The sequence below is a fragment of the Homo sapiens genome, chromosome 12, assembly GCF_000001405.40.
Source record: "Homo sapiens chromosome 12, GRCh38.p14 Primary Assembly".
NCBI lineage: Eukaryota > Metazoa > Chordata > Mammalia > Primates > Hominidae > Homo > Homo sapiens.
In genome coordinates this window covers 96,044,890-96,063,303 of record NC_000012.12, presented here as the reverse complement: position 1 = coordinate 96,063,303, position 18,414 = coordinate 96,044,890, and the positions used below count along the sequence as shown (strand labels likewise).

Here is an 18,414-nt window from a genome sequence, read left to right as displayed (position 1 = left end):
ATCAGCCTCAACATTGTCATAATACATATGCAAACCTATGCTGACTATGGCATGAATGGTGCCCCCTGGAGTTTTCAGTTTACAATAAATACAACTAGCCCTAGAAAAGCCATATAAAGATTGAGGGATGGCGGATGGGGGTCGGGGGAAGAGTGGGAATAACAAGAGAGTAAGAATGAAAAACCACATTGGTAGGAAGTGTGAGAATTAGGAATTAAAAAATGAAAGGTACGTGTTATAAACTGAAGAGTGTCCCCTCCAGATTCACACAATGAAGCCCTAACCCCTGGTTTGACTGTACTTGGAGACAGGGTCTTTAGGGAGGTAATTAAGATTAAATGAGGTAACTTGGGTGGGGCCTAATCCCATAGGACTGGTGTCCTTATAAGAAGACGCTCCAGATCTCCCTCTCTCTCTCCCTCCCTAAAAACCCTATCTGCAGGTCGGTGCAGTGGCTCACACCTGCAATCCCAGCACTTTGGGAGGCCAAGGCGGGCGGATCACGAGGTCAGGAGTTTGAGACCAGCCTGACCAACATGGTGAAAACCCATCTCTACTAAATTACAAAATAATTTGCTGAGTGTGGTGGCGGGTGCCTGCAGTCCCAGCTACTTGGGAGGCTGAGACAGGACAATGGCGTGAACCCAGGAGGCGGAGGTTGCAGTGAGCCGAGATTGCACGACTGCACTCCAGCCTGGGCGACAGAGCAAGACTCCGTCTCAAAAAACAAACCAAAAAAACCCTATTTGCAAATACAGTCAAAATGGCGGTTAGGGCTTCATTGTGTGAATCTGACATCTCTCCATCTCCCACTCCCTCTCCTTCCTCTCTCTGTGTGGCACAGAGAAGAGGCCCTGTGAGAATAACAGTGGGAAGGTGGACAGCTACAAGCCAGGAAGAGAAGCCTCACCAGAAACCAGCCCGTATGGCACTTTGATCATGGACTTCCAACCTCCAGAACTGTGATGCATTAAATATCTGTTGTTTAAACTACTGAGTCTGTAGTATTTTGCTGTGGCAGCCCAAACTGACTAATATGTATTAAGTGGGAAAGAAAGAAATGGTTCATTACAGCAGAGAGTGAGCAGAGATGGGAGAGAAAGGAAGGGCAAGAGAGAAGAGGAACTTCACTTCAAGGCCTAAATGGGGTTCAGTGCTTTTTTTATTTTTTTTCAATGTGTATCTGGACTTCAGGAGGGAGTTCTCATGAGTCTCGTGTTTGGGTTCTGCCTTGATAGTGAGGCTCTTCTGCCACCTGGTGGCAACATGCTTAACCCAGTCATTCACTCATTCATTCCTTCATTCCAGAGACATCTGTTGCGTGCCTGCCCTGTGCAAGGTATTGTGCCAAGCAAAGGATATAATCCTTAATGTCTACTCTGTGCTGAGCTCTGTCCTATGTGTGTTTTGTTTTGAGACAGAGTTTCGCTCTTGTAACCCAGGCTTAAGTGCAATGGCACGATCTCGGCTCACCGCAACCTCCGCTCCCGGGTTCAAGTGATTCTCCTGCCTCAGTCTCCCGAGTAACTGGGATTACAGGTGTGCGCCATCACGCACAGCTAATTTTTGTATTTTCAGTAGAGATGGGGTTTCTCCATGTTGCCCAGGCTGGTCTTGAACTCCTGACCTCAGGTGATCCACCCGCCTAGGCCTCCTAAAGTGCTGGGATTACAGGCGTGAGCCACCATGCCCAGCCTGTCCTATGTGTTTTACATGGAGAAATGATTCACACTTCACCACAACCCTCTGGGCTAAATACTATTATCTCTGTTTTATAGAGGAGGAAATTGAGACACTAAGAAATTAAATAACCTGCCCAAGAGCCTACAGACAGTGAGAGAGTGAGATCAGGAAGCAAGGAGCCCAGCTCTAGAAGGCTTTACAGACATACTCCCTGCCCTGGAAGACCTTACAGTTTCCTTTTAAAAAGAGGTAAATAACCAGCTTAAAGGATATGTATTTTTAAAAAAATGAATAACGCGAAATGGCAGTGTACCATTTTATTCCGTATTGACAGGGACAGGATGCAGAAAAATTCTGGGCAGAAGAGGGTGGGTCCCCAGCGACGGCCCCGGCCTCAAGGTGAAAAGCGTAATACCGCGGCCCAAAGTGAAAACTTACATCCCTGTTTTCCTGCTGGAATGTTGCCTTTTCCAAAACCACCCACAGCCTGCCCTGCCCCCATCTTGTGTCTATAGTAACCCCAGAACTCAGCCGGCAGAGAGGAGAAGCAGCTTGACTTAAAAGTGTGCAGCACCTCCACCTTAGCTCTCTCTTGCTCTGCCTCCCAAAGTGCTGGGATTACAGGCGTGAGCCACCGCAACCAGCAAGGCTGTTTTCTTATAAGGACACCGGACGGCTTGACGTTGTAGCTTTCGAGAGGAGTCCAGCAGGGACGGCTGGACTTCAGGGGAAGATTACCTTCCTGCTCTGTCCCTTTTTCAGCTCCCCTTTCTGCAGAGAGCCACTTTCACTGGCAATAAAATCCCCCACATATACCACCTCCAATTTGTTGTGTGACCTCATTCCTCCTAGATGTCGAACGAGAACTTGGGTGCGAGTGCAAAAGGCTGTCACACTGACTTTCCACTGAGTTATTAACACTTAAGCTGTCCACAGATGGCAACGCTAAAAGAGCACTGTAACACTCTTTCTGGGGCTTCAGGAGTCATGGGTACCCCACTAGACCGTGCTGCAGGGCCTCATGGAGTTTTGCTCCTGCCAGCGCCCCAAAGCACTCGCCCCAATTCCTGCACCCACTCACCTGCACTCCCCCTCCTGTGAGGGGTCAGGGAAAATTTCCTGCTTCAGTATGAATTCTGGTTTTAATTAACTGTCAAGAATCCTGGGGCCTTCATCCCAGGCGAGGAGATCTGGCAGCCATGGATCTCATCGCCACTCAGAGATTTTAGAACTTCAGCTATAAAAATGGGCAGAATTTTCCTTGATCATATCGGTGGTACCTGTCTGTGTTCCTGTGCAAACTGACATGATCCTGACCAACCGCCCAGAACTCATCTCCACTCAGTTCACAGGCGCCCTGGCCTTTTAACAAGGTCGTTAACCTGCTGTGCAGTGAACTTTAAGATCTGGTCATGCTCACTGGCAGCCACAGGGTTCAAGATGTGAGCTGCAAAAGTTGCAATAGCAAACCGGGGTGGATTTATGAATTTGCCACTGGAGATAGCCATGTTATAAGGAAGGCTGTGTGATCCTGGAAAGTGCTGAAGTTCAAGAGAGTGAAGGCTCTGAGGAGCATGTATCATCTGATAATTCTTGAAGAAAAAGAGATAAATTCATCCTTCCCAGATCCCCCTTACTGAAAACAAACATCAGGTGACATTCACTGTCACCTTAGCATCAGAGTCAGATGTATGACCTGCAGGTTGCGAGAATCTAAGATGGAACCTTTAAAACAAAATTTTGTATTTTCCATCCAACAGCAGTGTATAGAGAGAATATTAGACAGATGGCCATTAATTTTTTCCCCTGTGTTTACATCTTGAGGTAGAAGAGTCTGTCTGCAGCTACATAGTGGGTTATGTAAGAAAAAATATCTGGGCTATTGGCATGAAAAGTGTGTTTTATGTGAATTTTGAAAGGAAAATATGACAAGAGTATGGTTTTAAACTTACTTGGGCTTCATTTTAAACTTAAAAAAAATTCCAGTTATTTCACTTGATTTGCTAACTTCAGAGAATAGATCTGAATCTGTGCTTGGCACTGAAGGCCCAGTGTTAGCATGGCTGTGCTGGCTGGTGTGCCATATTCTTGTTGGAAATGAACTGTAGCACCAGAGCCCATTCTTCCTTGTTGGTCTTGACCCAAAGCTGTCACCATTCCTAGTTATTTGTTGTCACATAATTGGTGATGATTGGAAACTTTTTCTGAAATGGGCAGAACTGCTTAGTTGTCTTTCTTCATGTAACTTAAGCCTAGTAATATAAATAAAGAAATACTTGGAAAAAAAAAAAGAATCTTTCCTTTTGACTAAAAGAGGCCACATTCAACTGGCTCATTGTGCATCCATTAGGTTAGGGCACTGGCCCCAACTGGGAGGATTTTTAAAACACAGGAAGTTGGCCAGTACAGTGGTTTACACCTGTAATCCCAGCACTTTGGGAGGCTGAAGTGGTAGGATCACTTGAGCCCAGGGATTTGAGACCAACCTGGGCAACATAGGGAGACCCTAGGAATTCAAGACCAAAACAGAGCAAGACCCTCATCTCTACAAAACACTAAAGAATTAGCCGAGTGCAGTGGCTTACACATGTAATCCCAGCTATTCTGGAGGCTGAGGTGGGAGGATTGCTTGAGCCCAGGAGTTCAAGGCTACAGGGAGCTATGATCAAGCCACTGCTTGGGTAACAGAGTAAGACCCCCATCTCTTAAAAAAAAAAAAAATGGAAAGCCGGCTGAGCACGGTGGCTCGCATCCATAATCCCAGCACTTTAAGCGGCCGAGGTGGGTGGATCACGTGAGGTCAGGAGTTCGAGACCAGCCTGGCCAACATGGTGAGACCCTGTCTCTACTAAAAATATAAAAATTAGCTGGGCATGGTGGTGGGCACCTGTAATCCCAGTTACTTGAGAGGCTGAGACAGGAGAATCGCTTGAACCCGGGAGACGGAGGTTGCAGTGAGCCGAGATAGTGCCACTGCACTCCAGCCTGAGTGACAAGAGTGAGAGTCCATCTCAAAAAAAAAAAAAAAAAAGCCACATTCCACGAGAGCATTTCTGCAAGAGGGGTGGTAAATACATAGAAGGCAGAGCAGGAGAGGGACGAGAGAGAGAAAGAAACCATCGAGCTACACTATCCCATATGGTAGCAACTGTTTAAATTAATTTTTTTTTTTTTTACAAAGTCAGATTGCAGAAGTGCAACAATCCCAGAGCAAAGCAAATGGTCCCTCTTCTCCTGACCTGTCTCAGGGATAAGCTGAGAGTGGCGATGTTGAGCTTAATTAGGACTTAGCTATTTTTCTATGTGAGGTGATAGGATTTTAAGAGTGACCTTATTCCTCCCTTCCACTGAGTCCTGCAGCTGGTTTTTGGGTGCTGCTACTCACACCTTACAAGTGTCCTCTTGCCTGGTGGTTACAGAAAGGAAGGACAACTTCACCTTCCAGTCTCCATTTCAATTGGGACCGTTGCTGGCAGTTTATGCTCCATTAAGTTGCCCAGGAGCAGCATTTACTGCACACTGAGTTATGTGGGTCTCTGAAATTCTACCCCTATTCTTATGAAGACCTGAAAGTATTGTTTAATAAAAGCTCTTTCTTATAATAATCATGCTTATTTGCTTATATGTGAGTCTCTGATTCTCTATCATTAATTTTTTCACTTGTGATAAACTAACAGAGACGGGTGATTTAGACAGGCAATAATCAGCCAGTACAATAAACTTTTAATTTAGGCTGGCTGCTAAAGAGACACCAAAAGAAACAAATACGCAGAACAGGGTAGCACTCAGGCTTTAATCTAACTATTGCTCCACCCCACTCTGTATCACTGCCTTGTTAAATCTTTCTTTGGTATTTGTCCCTTCCCTTTCAATCCTACTCTTCAACTTGGTTGAGTCCCTTGATCACATCTCACACTAAGTCCATTAGCCTTCCTAAAATGTCCCTCCTCTAAGGTCAGTCTCCTTCAAAACACCCTTCAGCTGAATTCATTTGACAAATATTGAGCATCTACTGCCCTCAAAGAATTATGGTTAGTAGGGAGACACCTTGGTAAAATGAAATACATATAGATATATAGACACAGATATACAGTGAAATGTATTTATTGGTTAATGTTCCTTTGGTTGCAAATGATAGATAAATCAAGCAGGCTTAAGCTCAAAAAGGGAATTTGTTAATGCACAAAATCCAAGAATATATCTTGAATTTAAGTGAGGCATCATTCAGAGGATCAAATAATGTCACCAGCAGACTCTTTCCCATTCTCTCTCATTCTTTTCACTCTCTTTATTTTTGCTTCATGCTCAGGCAGTATGTGAAGTCTGCTAGCAGCTCCAGACTTGCAACAAAAACTTGTGTGTTTCTTCCCAGCCGCTCATGCTCAGTCCCAGGATTCACTCTAGTTCGATGAACCTGGGTCTCATGATCACCTCTGAACTGTAGCTCCTTAGTGCTCTGATTGGCTAGACTTAAATCACATGGGCTACACCCAAAGTACGGGGTGGGGGTGGGGTGGGTTCCTGAACGCTTGTCAGAGAAGGCGGAATAGAAGCTAGTGTTAAAAGAAACAGTTTAGACAAATTAAATTTAACAGAGTTTATTTGGGCAAAGAATGATTCATGAATCAGGCAGCACTCAGAACCAGAAGAGGTTCAGAAAACTCCACTTGGCAGTGTGAGCAATGAGCTTTTCTAGGGTGAACACAAAAGCAATGTAGAGAAACCACTTGATCGGCAACAGCTAGGCATCTGCCTTATTGGGCGTGGTCTCATCAATTGGATGCTTATTATTGGCTGAAGCTTCTCTGTGATTGGCTGAAACCAGGCTATATGTTACAAAAATATACTCCTAAATTAGGTTTCAGTTTGTTTACATACTATTAGGTTGCTGTTTGTTCCACAGAAACTCAAAATATGGAGAGGGCCTCTGGCCAATGGCCTCGTGCTTATTTAATTTAACACTAGGTAGATAAAAAACAACAAATATTTCTATAGTATGGGTAAGATATATTGAGAACACAATAAACAGGTGCCTAAATCTGCATGTGAGTCACAGAAGACATCACAGCAGAGGGTAAATCCGAGTTGATGCTTGAAAAAGGAGCAGGAGTTTGCTGACAGGCAGGGAAAGCCAGGAGGATTGGGAGGGAAGGGGTCCCAGTGGCAAGAATGGCCTATGCAGAGTCACAAAAGAAAATAAACTATGTGTCCATCAGACATGGCTTGGGTGTGTGTTCCCATCAAATCCATGTGGAATTGTAGTCCCCAGTGTTGGAGGTGGGGCCTGGCGGGGAGGTGATTGGATCATGGGGGCGGATTTCTCATGAATGGTTTCGCATCATCGCCTTGGTGCTGTTCCTTTGGTGCTGTTCCCGTGATAGTGAGTGAGTGCTTGTGAGATTAGGTTTTTTAAAAGTGTACATCACCTCCTCTCTAGCTCTCTCTTGCTCTTGCTCCCACTATGTGAGACACCTCGCACCCCCTTTGCCTTCCGCCGTGATTGGAAGCTTCCTGAGGCCTCCCCAGAAGCAGAAGCCACCAGGATTCCTGTGAAGCCTGCAGAACCATGAGCCAATTAAACCTCCTTTCTTTTCTTTTCTTTTCTTTCTTTTTTTTTTTTTTGAGACGGATTTCCGCTCTTTCGCCCAGGCCGGACTGCAGTGGTGCAATCTTGGCTCACTGCAAGCTCCGCCTCCCGGGTTCATGCCATTTTCCTGCCTCAGCCTCCGGAGTAGCTGGGACTACACGCAACCGCCACCACACCCGGGTAATTTTTTGTATTTTTTTTTAGTAGAGACGGGGTTTCACCATTTTAGCCAGGATGGTCTCCATCTCCTGACCTCGTGATCCACCCGCCTCGGCCTCCCAAAGTGCTGGAATTACAGGCATGAGCCACCGCGCCTGGCCAATCTCCTTTCTTTGTAAATTACCCACTCTCAGGGTTTTTTTTTTTTTTTTTTTTTTTTTTGAGATAGAGTCTTGCTCTGTCACCCAGACTGGAGTACAGTGGTGCGATCTCGGCTCACTGCAACCTCCGCCTCCTGGGTTCAAGTGATTCTTCTGCCTCAGCCTCCCGAGTAGCTGGGATTACAGGCGCCTGCCACCACACCCAGCTAATTTTTGTATTTTTAGTAGAGATGGGGTTTCACCATAAGCCAGGCTGGTCTTGAACTCCTGACCTCGTGATCCACACGCCTCGGCCTCCCAAAGTCCTGGGATTACAGGTATGAGTCACCGTGCCTGGCTTCTTCTTCTTTTTTTTTTTTTTTGAGATGGAGTCTTGCTCTGTCACCCAGGCTGGAGTGCAGTGGCGCAATCTCGGCTCACTGCCACCTCTGCCTCCCGGGTTCAAGCAATTCTCTGCCTCAGCCTCCCAAGTAGGTAGGATTACAGATGCCTGCCACTACACCTGGCTAATTTTTGTATTTTTAGTAGAGACGGGTTTCACCATCTTGGCCAGGCTGGCCTTGAATTCCTGACCTCATGATCCACCCGCCTCGGCCTCCCAAAGTGTTGGGATTACAGGCGTGAGCCACCGCGCCCAGCAGATATTTCTTTATAGCAGTGCGAGAACGGACTAACTCACCATCTTTTTGCACAAGGCAGAGAGCCAGATTAAAAAGGCAGGTTGTGGAGCCTGATTGCTTGGTTTGAATTCCGGTTGAATCTTGGCTGCTTACTTAATTGCACCATGCTTCAGTTCACCATCTGTAAAATGGGAATAGTAATAGTACCTACCTCTCAGGCTGTTGCCAGGATTAATTGAAATGTGTTAATACATTTAAAGTGCGTAGAAGAGGGCCTGGGATATAGGAAGTGCTAAAAACAATTGCTAAATAAATCCAATGAAGTAAAATAAAATTGGTGTGATTATTAATTCATGCTGTGCTACAACCTACTTTAAAATAATGGCCTACAATTACTTGGTTCAATGCACTATAAATTTGGTTTAAAAGATCACAACAAAAGAACAACATGACTTTCTCATGATCATTTATATAGGTAACATACAATCCAGTTCCTTCTCATATATAAATTTCCCTGTTTGTAGTCATAGTGTTGTTACACTGTTATCCCACAGTTCCACATTTTATAGGAAATGTAGTTTCTCCTTCCGGCTTTTGTTGCCTAAGGTCTAATCTTGCAGACTTATTATAGCAAAATGTTGCTCAATTTAGCCCACCCAGTCTCATGAGACAACAGGCTGACCCAAACAACCCCAAAGGAGAGAAACTGAACAGAACGCGCATACAACCCACACTGCCTTGTGTTCATTTTGTAAACGTCAAGCTCTGAAATTGGGTCAATGGTCTTGTTATCCCTTGTCTGTGAGTTACATTTTCTGAATTGTGTATGTGTTAGGAACTTTGGTTAGATATTCTCTGTATATTTTATTCTTTGGAAATCTTCCAACCTCCACCCTTAAGTAACAATGACTTTTGAAATGGTCTAAGAAAAAGGAAAAATCTCATTTGCAATGTTTTGCGCGGTGAGGGGAAGAGAGGAAGTTAGAAAAAAAGGCCTGTGGTGAGGCCAGGGTATAGGGCAGTGTTCTAAAAGGATGTGTTCTGGGGTCTCATTGTCTGGGTTTGAACCCCAGACCTGCCTGTTCCAAGTTGAGTTGACTTGAGCAATTATTTATTGGAGCTTCTGTTTCTCCTCTGTGAAACAGAGATAATGCCTCACAGTGGCAGCCAGCTTCCAAGGAGTCTCCCAGTGATCACCCCTCCTGGTACTCATGGCTTTGTGGTGTGCCCTCCTATTGTATTGGGGTTGCTCTGTGTGACCACTGGAATATAACAAAAATAGTTGTATATTGTTTTCACGGCTCAATTGTGTTAGCAGAAGGCAGCTTCCCCATGGCTGCCATTTCCTCCACTTTTAGAGAATGGGAAACTTCAGTGATTCCCTGCCCTGATCACCAGGCCAGGGTAGACTAGACGGCCCCAGTGCACACAGACATCTTGTGTAAAATGTGAGGCATTCATTCTTCAGAAAAACACGTGGGGGTTCAATAAGTGTGTCTTAGTCCATTCAGGCTGCTATAACAAAATACCATAGACTGGGTAGCTTATGCACAACAGAAATTTATTTCTCACAATTTTGGAGGCTGAGAAGTCCTTGATAAAGATGCCAGCAGATGTGATGTCTGGTGAGGGCCCATTTTCTGGTTCATAGATGGTGCCTTCTTCCTGTGTCTTCACATGGTGGAAGGGCATACAAGCTCTCTGAAGTCCCTTTTGTAAGAGCACAAATTCCATTCACCAAAGGCCCCATCTGCCAATACCATCAACTTGGGGGTTAGGATTTCAACATATAAATTTTGGGGGTGACACAAACATTTAGACCATAACAAAAGATGAGTTTTTTTCTGAATTTGCTTTTTGTTCCTAACTTTGCTTATAACTGTCAACCTCATAAGAAGTATTTTCCCTCTCAAATACCCATCCAAACTTTACACATTCATTCATTAGAGGTTTCCAAAGTAGTATGGACATAGGCGTATGGACATAGGCACATGGCAATTATTTGGATGCAGGCAGAAACTATTAAATCTTTAAGATTATTTATGTAACTGGCTTCACAAACATAATTTGTAACATACAATTATAAACAACTATATTTTATTCTTCTACTGTCCCTTTAATTTTTCTCAGTGAACTGGTATTTCCTCTGCCTCTGGATAAACCTTGTGCAGGCTCGTGATTTTTCTGGATCCTCAGATAATTACAAGTTCTATGATCATGTTTCATATATTGCAGCCTTAATTTAGAAGTTAGAATGTAAGCATAAGTGAGTGCCTGGGTCAGCTAAGGCTGCCAAAACAAAATATTATAGACTGGGTGGCTTAAACAACAGATATTCATTTCTTACAATTCTGGAGGCTGACAAGTTCAAGTTCAGACTGTGAGCAGATTCAGTGTTTGCCATGGCCCCTTTTCCTGGCTTGCAGATGGCCACCTTCTTGCTGTATCTTCACATGGCAGAGAGAGGAAGCTCTAGTCTCTCTTCTTCTTATAAGGGCACTGATTCCATCACAAGGGATCTACCCTCATGACCTCATCCAAACCTAATTACCTCCCAAAGACCTCACCTCGTAATACCCTCACATTGGGGGTTAGGGCTTCAATATATGAATTTGGGGGAGACTTAAACGTTTAGTTCATAATATTCTGCCCTTTGTCCCTCTCAAAATTCACATCCTCCTTGCATTTAAAATACATTCATTCCATCTTAACAGTCTCAAAAGTCAACTCATTCCAGCATCAACTCTAAAGTTTAAAGTCTCATCTAAATATCATGTAAATCCAATATGAGTGAGACTCAAAATTCACCCTAAGGCAAAATTCCTTTCCAACTGTGAATCTGTGAAACCAGACAAGTTATGTGCTTCCGAAATACAATGATGGAACAGGCTCAGGATAGATATTCCTATTCCAAAAGGGAGAAATTGAAAGGTAGAAAGGGGTGACAAGTACCAAGAAATCCAAAATCTAGAAGTCAAACTTCATTAGGCTTTAAAACTGAAATACAATCCTCTTTGGCTCAAAGAATGCTCTGCCCTGTAGGCCCACTGGGGTGGTGGTCCTCCCTTCCAGAACCACTGGAAGGTATCACCCCCATCTTTCAGTGGGGTGTCCCTGCTTCTTCAGCTCAGTGTAGCACTGCCCACATGGCTGTCTGTGAGGGCCACACCCACATGAGTGCTGAGTAGCAGTCCCACTCTTTGAAACCAAGATGGAGGTAGCCTTGTTCCCAGGGGCCTTTCCACTCTGGGCCTGTGGTGGGAGTAGCAGCCCTGATGATGTCTGAATTGCCTTTGGGATCCTTCCTCTCTTTTCCTGAAGGGGATTGCATATTCACAGCCTTACTTCATTCCATCTTGTTTTCTCTTTTCCTTTTAGTCCCAACTGGCAGGGGACTAAAGCATTATTTCTCCTGGAATAATCCCAACTCTATTTCTGGCTTCTGTTGAGATGGCTGATTAGGTCCATGGTTGATACTCACACTACTCTCCTTATCAAATGGGTGACCAGCCACACTCTTAATAATCTCTTCTTTTCTTTTCTTTTTTTATTTTTTAAAATAGAGATGGGGTCTCACCATGTTGCCCAGGCTGGTCTTGAACTCCTGAGCTCAAGTAATCTGCCTGCTTTGGCATCCCAAAGTGCTGGGATTATAGGCAGGAGCCACCATGCTTGGCCTAACTCTTCTGAACATGGTTTCTCATTTTTTTTGCAGTAAGGACAGGCTAAGAATTTTCCAAATCTTTAAGTGCTGGTTATTTTTTGATTAACAATTTCTTCTTCAATTCATTTCTCTCTTCTTAAATTTTACTATCAGTGGTCAAGAGGAACCAAGCTGCTCTTTCAGCACTCTGCTTAGAAATGGCCTCAGCCAACTATCCAATTTCATTGTTTGAAAGTTCTACCGTCCACAAAACACTAGAACATAAACAATTCAGTAAGTTATTTGCCACTTTATAAAAAGGATTTTCTCCATTGTCCAATAACATGTTCCTCATTTCCATCTGAGGCCTCACAGAATAGCCTTTGCCACCTATATTTCTGCTAGCATTCTGTTCACGATTGTTTACGCATCCTCAAAGAAGGAAGACAGAAGCTCTTTTTGAGTCCTCACCAGAATCATCTTTAGCAATTTTTTCACAGCAACCTTGGCTTTTTGTAGCATGTATCTCAAAACTCTTTTAGCCTTCACCCATCACCCTGCATCATTACTGCTTCCACATTTTTAGAATTTATTTTAATTTAAAAAATGTATATAATGTAATTCAGAAGATCCAAAGATATCCCTTATGCACCATATGGATGCCAATTTCACTACGCAAATTTCACCATGCAAATTCTTCCTCCCTCTGAAATACTTTGGTCTTTATTAGTAGTAGTATTATTTTAATTTGAGATTCAGGAGGTACATGTACAGGTTTGTTACATGAATATATTGCCTAATGCTGAGGTTTGGGCTTCTGCTGAACTGTCACCCAAATGGTGAACATGAACATAGTACCCAATAGGTAGTTTTTCAACTCTCTTTCCTCCCTCCTTCCCTTTCCCCTTTTGGAGTCCCCTGTGTCTATTGTTTCTATCTTTATGCCTGTGTGTACCCTGTGTTTATCTCCCTCCCACTTATAAGTGAAAACATGCAGTATTTAATTTTGTTTCTGTGTTAATTCACTCAAGATAATGGCCTCTAGCTGCATCCACGTTGCTGCAAAGGACAGCTTCTTTATGGCTGTATAGTATTCCATTGTGTATATGTACCACATTTTCTTTTCCAATCCATCATTGATGGGCACCTAGGTTGATTCCACGTCTTTGCTATTTTTATACATTTGTTATAGCAGCACCCATCCTGGTACCAATTTCTGTCTCAGCTTGAGCTGCCATAGCAAAATAACAGTGAGCAACAAGAAAGATTAACAGACCTAATAATTCTCCTACTCCAAGATAAGATGAGTGTATTAACAAACAAAACAAAATAATGATGACAAATAAGATCTGACAAAATGTGCCCCCCATGCAAATCATAATTATAAGATGCTTATTTAAAGTAAGGATTTACATTGACCATTGTTAAGAGTAAACCTTGCCCTCAATGTATTTTGCATCTTAAGATATGATTAATTAGCACATGTAAAGAATTTGCAAACATTTATTGAGGGTGTGCCCACCTTTTTTGCTGATATTGGTGAACAATAACAAAAATTAGAACCCCCTGTTTTTTATTTCCATGCAAGCCTCACTGCTTCCAGGAAGATGCCCACTGATGTCTCCATTGAGCTCCTACAGCGTTTGTGACTGGTCCACCTGGATACCCTTTAATTATTCAGTCTCCCACACTGATCTTTGGTGGTTTAATTTTATAGTCCCCATTTTCCCAGTATGTTTGCAAACTTCCAAGGGACAAGTGGGCATCCCTGCTGTTTAGTACCCACAAAAGGTGTCTGATAACTTGCCATGGATGTGTTTATGCTTGCCATGATTGCCCACTTCCTTTTGGCCTAGAGTTCAGGAATTCTAGAATTGTCCTTCTCCAAGTGAAGATCAAGGAGTAGAGGATGAGGAGAGGGAGAAGAAAAGTTTGAAAAAAAAATCAAAGAAACTGGAAGGTTTGTTTTGTTAGATTTTGCAAAGAGCAGCAGAAAAAGCCAAATCTATCATAAAATATAACTTGATTTCTGATATTATATTATTCTAGTTCAATGATTCAATGAAATAAAGAGGAAGCATTTAAGGAGTGAGAGATGAGAAGTTCTGGGAAGCCACGCCCGCTTAGATAAGCAGCACCCTCAGCTTCCATGGTGCGTCTTTTCGTTCTGCCATCGTTCCTTCTTTTGTTCCTTCCTTTCTCCACTCCTGTCTTTTATTCCTTTTGAATCTTTTGAGGACCTACTATGTTGTTTGTACTGAGCTGGGGGCTGCAATAGAGACGACAGAATTGTAAGGTATACCTGGAAGAAACTGCCCCTCTCCACTTCTTTGGGAACAGAGTGAGAAAGGTATAAAGAAACAAATACAAATTAACCAGAAGGACAAGAAATATATACAGTCGATTCTCATGATTTGCAGTAATTATATCTTAGAAAGTTCATAAACATTGCATTAGTGAATCCTGAACCTTTGCTCCCAGGGGAAATATAGTAGGTTCCTGAGAGCCTCTGTTCACATTTTCATCAATCAATACAAAATCTCATTGTATATGTTTTTCTGTTTCAAGACACTTTTGTAATATATAGTTGATTCATTAACATTGAAATCACAGCCAACAGCACTGTAACTCATGCTTGATGCAGCTTATCTAACACACACACTTTGTCCCTAAACACATCGCAGCCTTCTTGCGCTTAACCCTGGACAGCACTTCAGCACCCACTTGGGGAATATTTTAAACTGCAAAATCACCAACGAAAAGCACAAAAATGTGTAAACAAGGTGACATTAGACTGCAAAAAGGACACTTGTTTACAGTATAAGCGCAGAAGCAGGAAGGCAGAGGGTCACTTTGTTTAACCTCAGTTGAGACTGTGTGCCTCCGGAGACTCAAATTTCTCACAGCTCTGAGTGTGTCCAAGAGTGACCACAAAAGCTCTGTAAATATTGATTTTGGAATAACAAATAAATTTTGGCAAGTAGGCAAACTTGTAAACACCAAATCCATGAATAATGAGGATTAACTGCATGTATATATGTATGTGTATATACATACACATACATACATACATACATAGGTATGTGAAGTTCATGTTCAGAAGAATTAATAACCAAAAGAGAGAAAAATACACTGGGAATATATCTATGGCGAAAGGGGGCAGTTGAGCAGAGGTGAGAGAAGTGGGTATGGAGGGCCTTCCAGGACCGTGCATTGGTTGGATAGAGCTGAGTGGGGTGCAGTGTGTGTGTGAGGAAGAAAGGAGAAGGGGGCTGCTTTGGAAGCCAAGGGGAGCAGCTTGGAAGGGAGGAGGAGGTCAGGTCTGGGAGGTTTGCGGAAGTGCTCGGCTGGGTTTAAGAAATCCTGAGACACATGTGCAGGAGAGGGCAGAGAGTGAGTCAACCATGTGAGTCTCTTCCATGGGTTTACTCAACTCTGAATTTCAAATAAAAACCTTTTGTAAGAAATGACAAAATAATAGTTCCTCAAACATGGATTTGTAGATGAGAAGAACGTTTAGGAGGAAAGCATTTGGGGTTAGCCTTTGCTCATGAAAATGTTATTTCCATGAGCAAATAGGCATAACCTGCTCTGTTGGCAGAGCAAGAGAAACTGGGCTCAAAGCCAACAAATATGACACAGAAATAGGACTTTTGAAAATGAAACCCTGCAAGCACTTATCAAAACCTACTTGTGCTTTAAGTCATCAGAACAAAAGGTGTAAGTACCTGCTGTGATGAAATATCACTGCCTACTTAGTGGGAAAAATGTAAGCTGAGCTGGAATCTGAGTCAGAAAGAAACAGGTACAATGAAGCTTGCAATCAGGCTTACCTGGAAAAGAAACGGAAGTGAGTGAGAGGAAAATAAAGTATGAACAAGGCCAGCAGTTGTAAAGAACTTTTTCTTGTAACTTGAAAACAGCTTCCCTCCCTACTTCATCTACTTTTAACCCCTACCCAAGCTGGGGTAGGGAGAAGGGTGTTGGATTTGTGTCAACAACTACAGAATCAGGTTGCTGCAATGCAGTGAATGTTTCTGGCCTGGTGCAGGGGTCTTAAAGGAAATCTCCTGGCAGGGTGCAACTGTCTAAACTTCAAAGCAGCATGTCAAAACCTGGCTACAATGTGTTCACCGAAAGACACGTACCAGAATATCCATAGCAGCACCATTCATAATAATAACTCAGAACTGGAAATCACCCACATGTCTATCCACGGTTGAAAGGATAAGTAAATCATGGTATATCCACACATGGAACACTGTACAGCAGTGAGTGTGCACAGCCTAGATGTACACACAACATTATGGAGAAATCTTGCAAAAGGAATGTTGAGCCAAGGAGCCAGGCATGACAGAATATACTGTATGTGTCTGTTTATGCAAAGGAAAGATAAATAGCCGAACAGGTCAAGGTAATATGCTATTGGAAGTCAGGCAGTGGTTACCCCTAGGAAGCAGGATTTATAGAGACTGAAACGGAACTTAAGGGAGGCAACAGTGCAGTGGTGGTAATGTTCTGTCTCTGATCTGGGTGCTGATTGCACTGGCATGCTCAGTTTATAAAGTTCAGTGAGCTATACACTTACAATATGTGCATTTTTATGAATGGATAGTATGCTTCAATAACAATGTTTTTAAAAGTGTTTACAATTAGTGGGGGGGTGGGCTGGCAAGGGCATTCTGTATCACAAACAAACATTGCCTGGTGACATCAGAGGACAAGGGCAAGTGCAGAAGGTGGCTTTTTCTTTGCTGCAAAGTCAACACAGAGTGAAACACTGAATAAAAGTTTGCCTGGAACCTCATGTGAAATCTCATTCGCTCATTTATACATTTGTTCATTCATACAACAGACATGTGCTGAGAGGGAGAATATACAATCAGGGTCTTAAAGACCCACCATGTAGTAGGGAAGGCTGACAAGTAAACTGACAATGATGCAGTGTGGTAAATGCTTTGTTGAGGATAACACTAGGGTATTAAGAGAGTACTGATATGGCGGTCAAGGGCAGTGGACCCTAAGAGAAGGAGTCCTGACATGTTTGATTAACACTTGGACTGAATTTTCTCCAATGCCAAAAGTATTTCTTGAGCCTCTAAGGCAGTGATCTCATTTAAAATGCACACAGATCTCCTGGGGATCTGAATAAAATGTGGATTCTGATCCAGTAGGTCAGGGCAGGCCTGATATCTGCATTTTTTTTTTTTTTTTTGAGACAGAGTCTTGCTCTGTTACCCAGGCTGGAGTGCAGTGGCGTGATCTCAGCTCACTGCAAACTCCACGTCCTGGGTTCAAGCAATTTTCCTGCCTCAGCCTACCAAGGAGCTGGGATTATAGGTGCACGCCATGCCTCAGACTCAGCCTCCCAAGTAGCTGGGATTACAGGTATGCACACCACGATGCCCAGCTAATTTTTGTATTTTTAGTAGAGACGGGGTTTTGCCATGTTGGTCAGGCTGGTCTTGAACTCCTGACCTCAAGTGATCCGCCCACCACAGCCTCCCAAAGTGTTAGGATTACAGGCATGAGCCACCCGGCCAAGATCTGCATTTCTGATGAGGCTTCTAGGAGGTGCAGATGCTGCTGATCTTCAAACACACTTTGTGAGACCTAAGAGAGAAGGCCATGTGATGGTTGGCACTGTCTGGCTCCAACTCAGGACAGCGTGACAGCCTATTTGGTTCAGGCCAGTCCCTCCCAAGGACACAAGCCGAGAAATAAAAGACAGAACTGTGTGGGAGGAAACACGGGTGGCTGTGGGGCTTTCCAGACTCTGCCTGCGGTCAACCATGGGGTGGGGTGGGGTGCCAGAAAGGCATCTGGGAGGAGACCACTTATGCTATTTTACAAAATTGGCAGAACTTTTTCTCGTGCTTCTTTCATTTTGGCCTTCCCAGCTGCCCAAACCTTGGGTTTTTGTTTTTTTTTTTTTTTTTTTGAGATGGAGCCTTGCTCTGTCACCAGGCTGTAGTGCAGCGGTGCGATCTCGGCTCACTGCAATCTCTGCCTCCTGGGTTCAAGTGATTCTCCTGCCTTAGCCTCCCAAATAGCTGGAACTACAGGTGTGCGCCACCACGCCCGGCTAATTTTTATATTTTTAGTAGCGATGGGTTTTCACCATGTTGGCCAACATGCTCCTGATCTCCTGACCTGGTGATCTGCCCACCTTGGCCTCCCAAAGTGCTGGGATTACAGGCATGAGCTGCCGCACCCAGTCCCAAACCTTTTCTTGACATGCAGAACAGACTGGAGATGTGACTATAAATATAGAATTCATGCGCATGGCTGCACAAGGAAGAAGAAATTTCACAGAAGATGGAGAAACTGGTCAGGATTGCCTCAACTATGTTGTAAGGTGAACATTAAAAATGTGGCTAAAATCATTTCTTCTATTTGCTCACACACTGAAGGGAGGAAGAGAAGGGTGTCACATGCACCTTGTTCTCTTAGCAAGGGAGATTCTACTAGACTCTAGCCCAGACTGGAGGGTGGTGGGGGGCAGAGTCCTGAAGGGGAGGAGGAGAGCCCTGCCAAGGTTGCGGGAAGAGTGGGAGTGGG

At 43.7% G+C, this 18,414-nt stretch overlaps 1 long non-coding RNA gene and 1 pseudogene across 1 annotated transcript, besides 1 other annotated feature; one reads left to right on the top strand and one right to left on the bottom strand.

Moving 5' to 3' along the window:
• YPEL5P3 (YPEL5 pseudogene 3) lies at positions 2,874-3,964 on the top strand (annotated as a pseudogene).
• On the bottom strand, positions 9,751-10,656 carry LOC124902990 (uncharacterized). Its single transcript, XR_007063413.1, has 2 exons — positions 10,558-10,656; positions 9,751-9,960 (listed from the first exon to the last, which is right to left on the bottom strand). It is a non-coding gene; the product is annotated as an uncharacterized LOC124902990 (long non-coding RNA).
• Positions 15,017-16,216: an enhancer, noted in NCBI's record as "MED14-independent group 3 enhancer chr12:96440866-96442065 (GRCh37/hg19 assembly coordinates)". NCBI's record gives its function as "activates an origin of replication core promoter dependent on BRD2, BRD4, P300/CBP and CDK7 cofactors, and independent of MED14, by STARR-seq in HCT116 cells {active_cell/tissue: HCT116}" and the evidence as "EXISTENCE:reporter gene assay evidence [ECO:0000049][PMID:35650434]".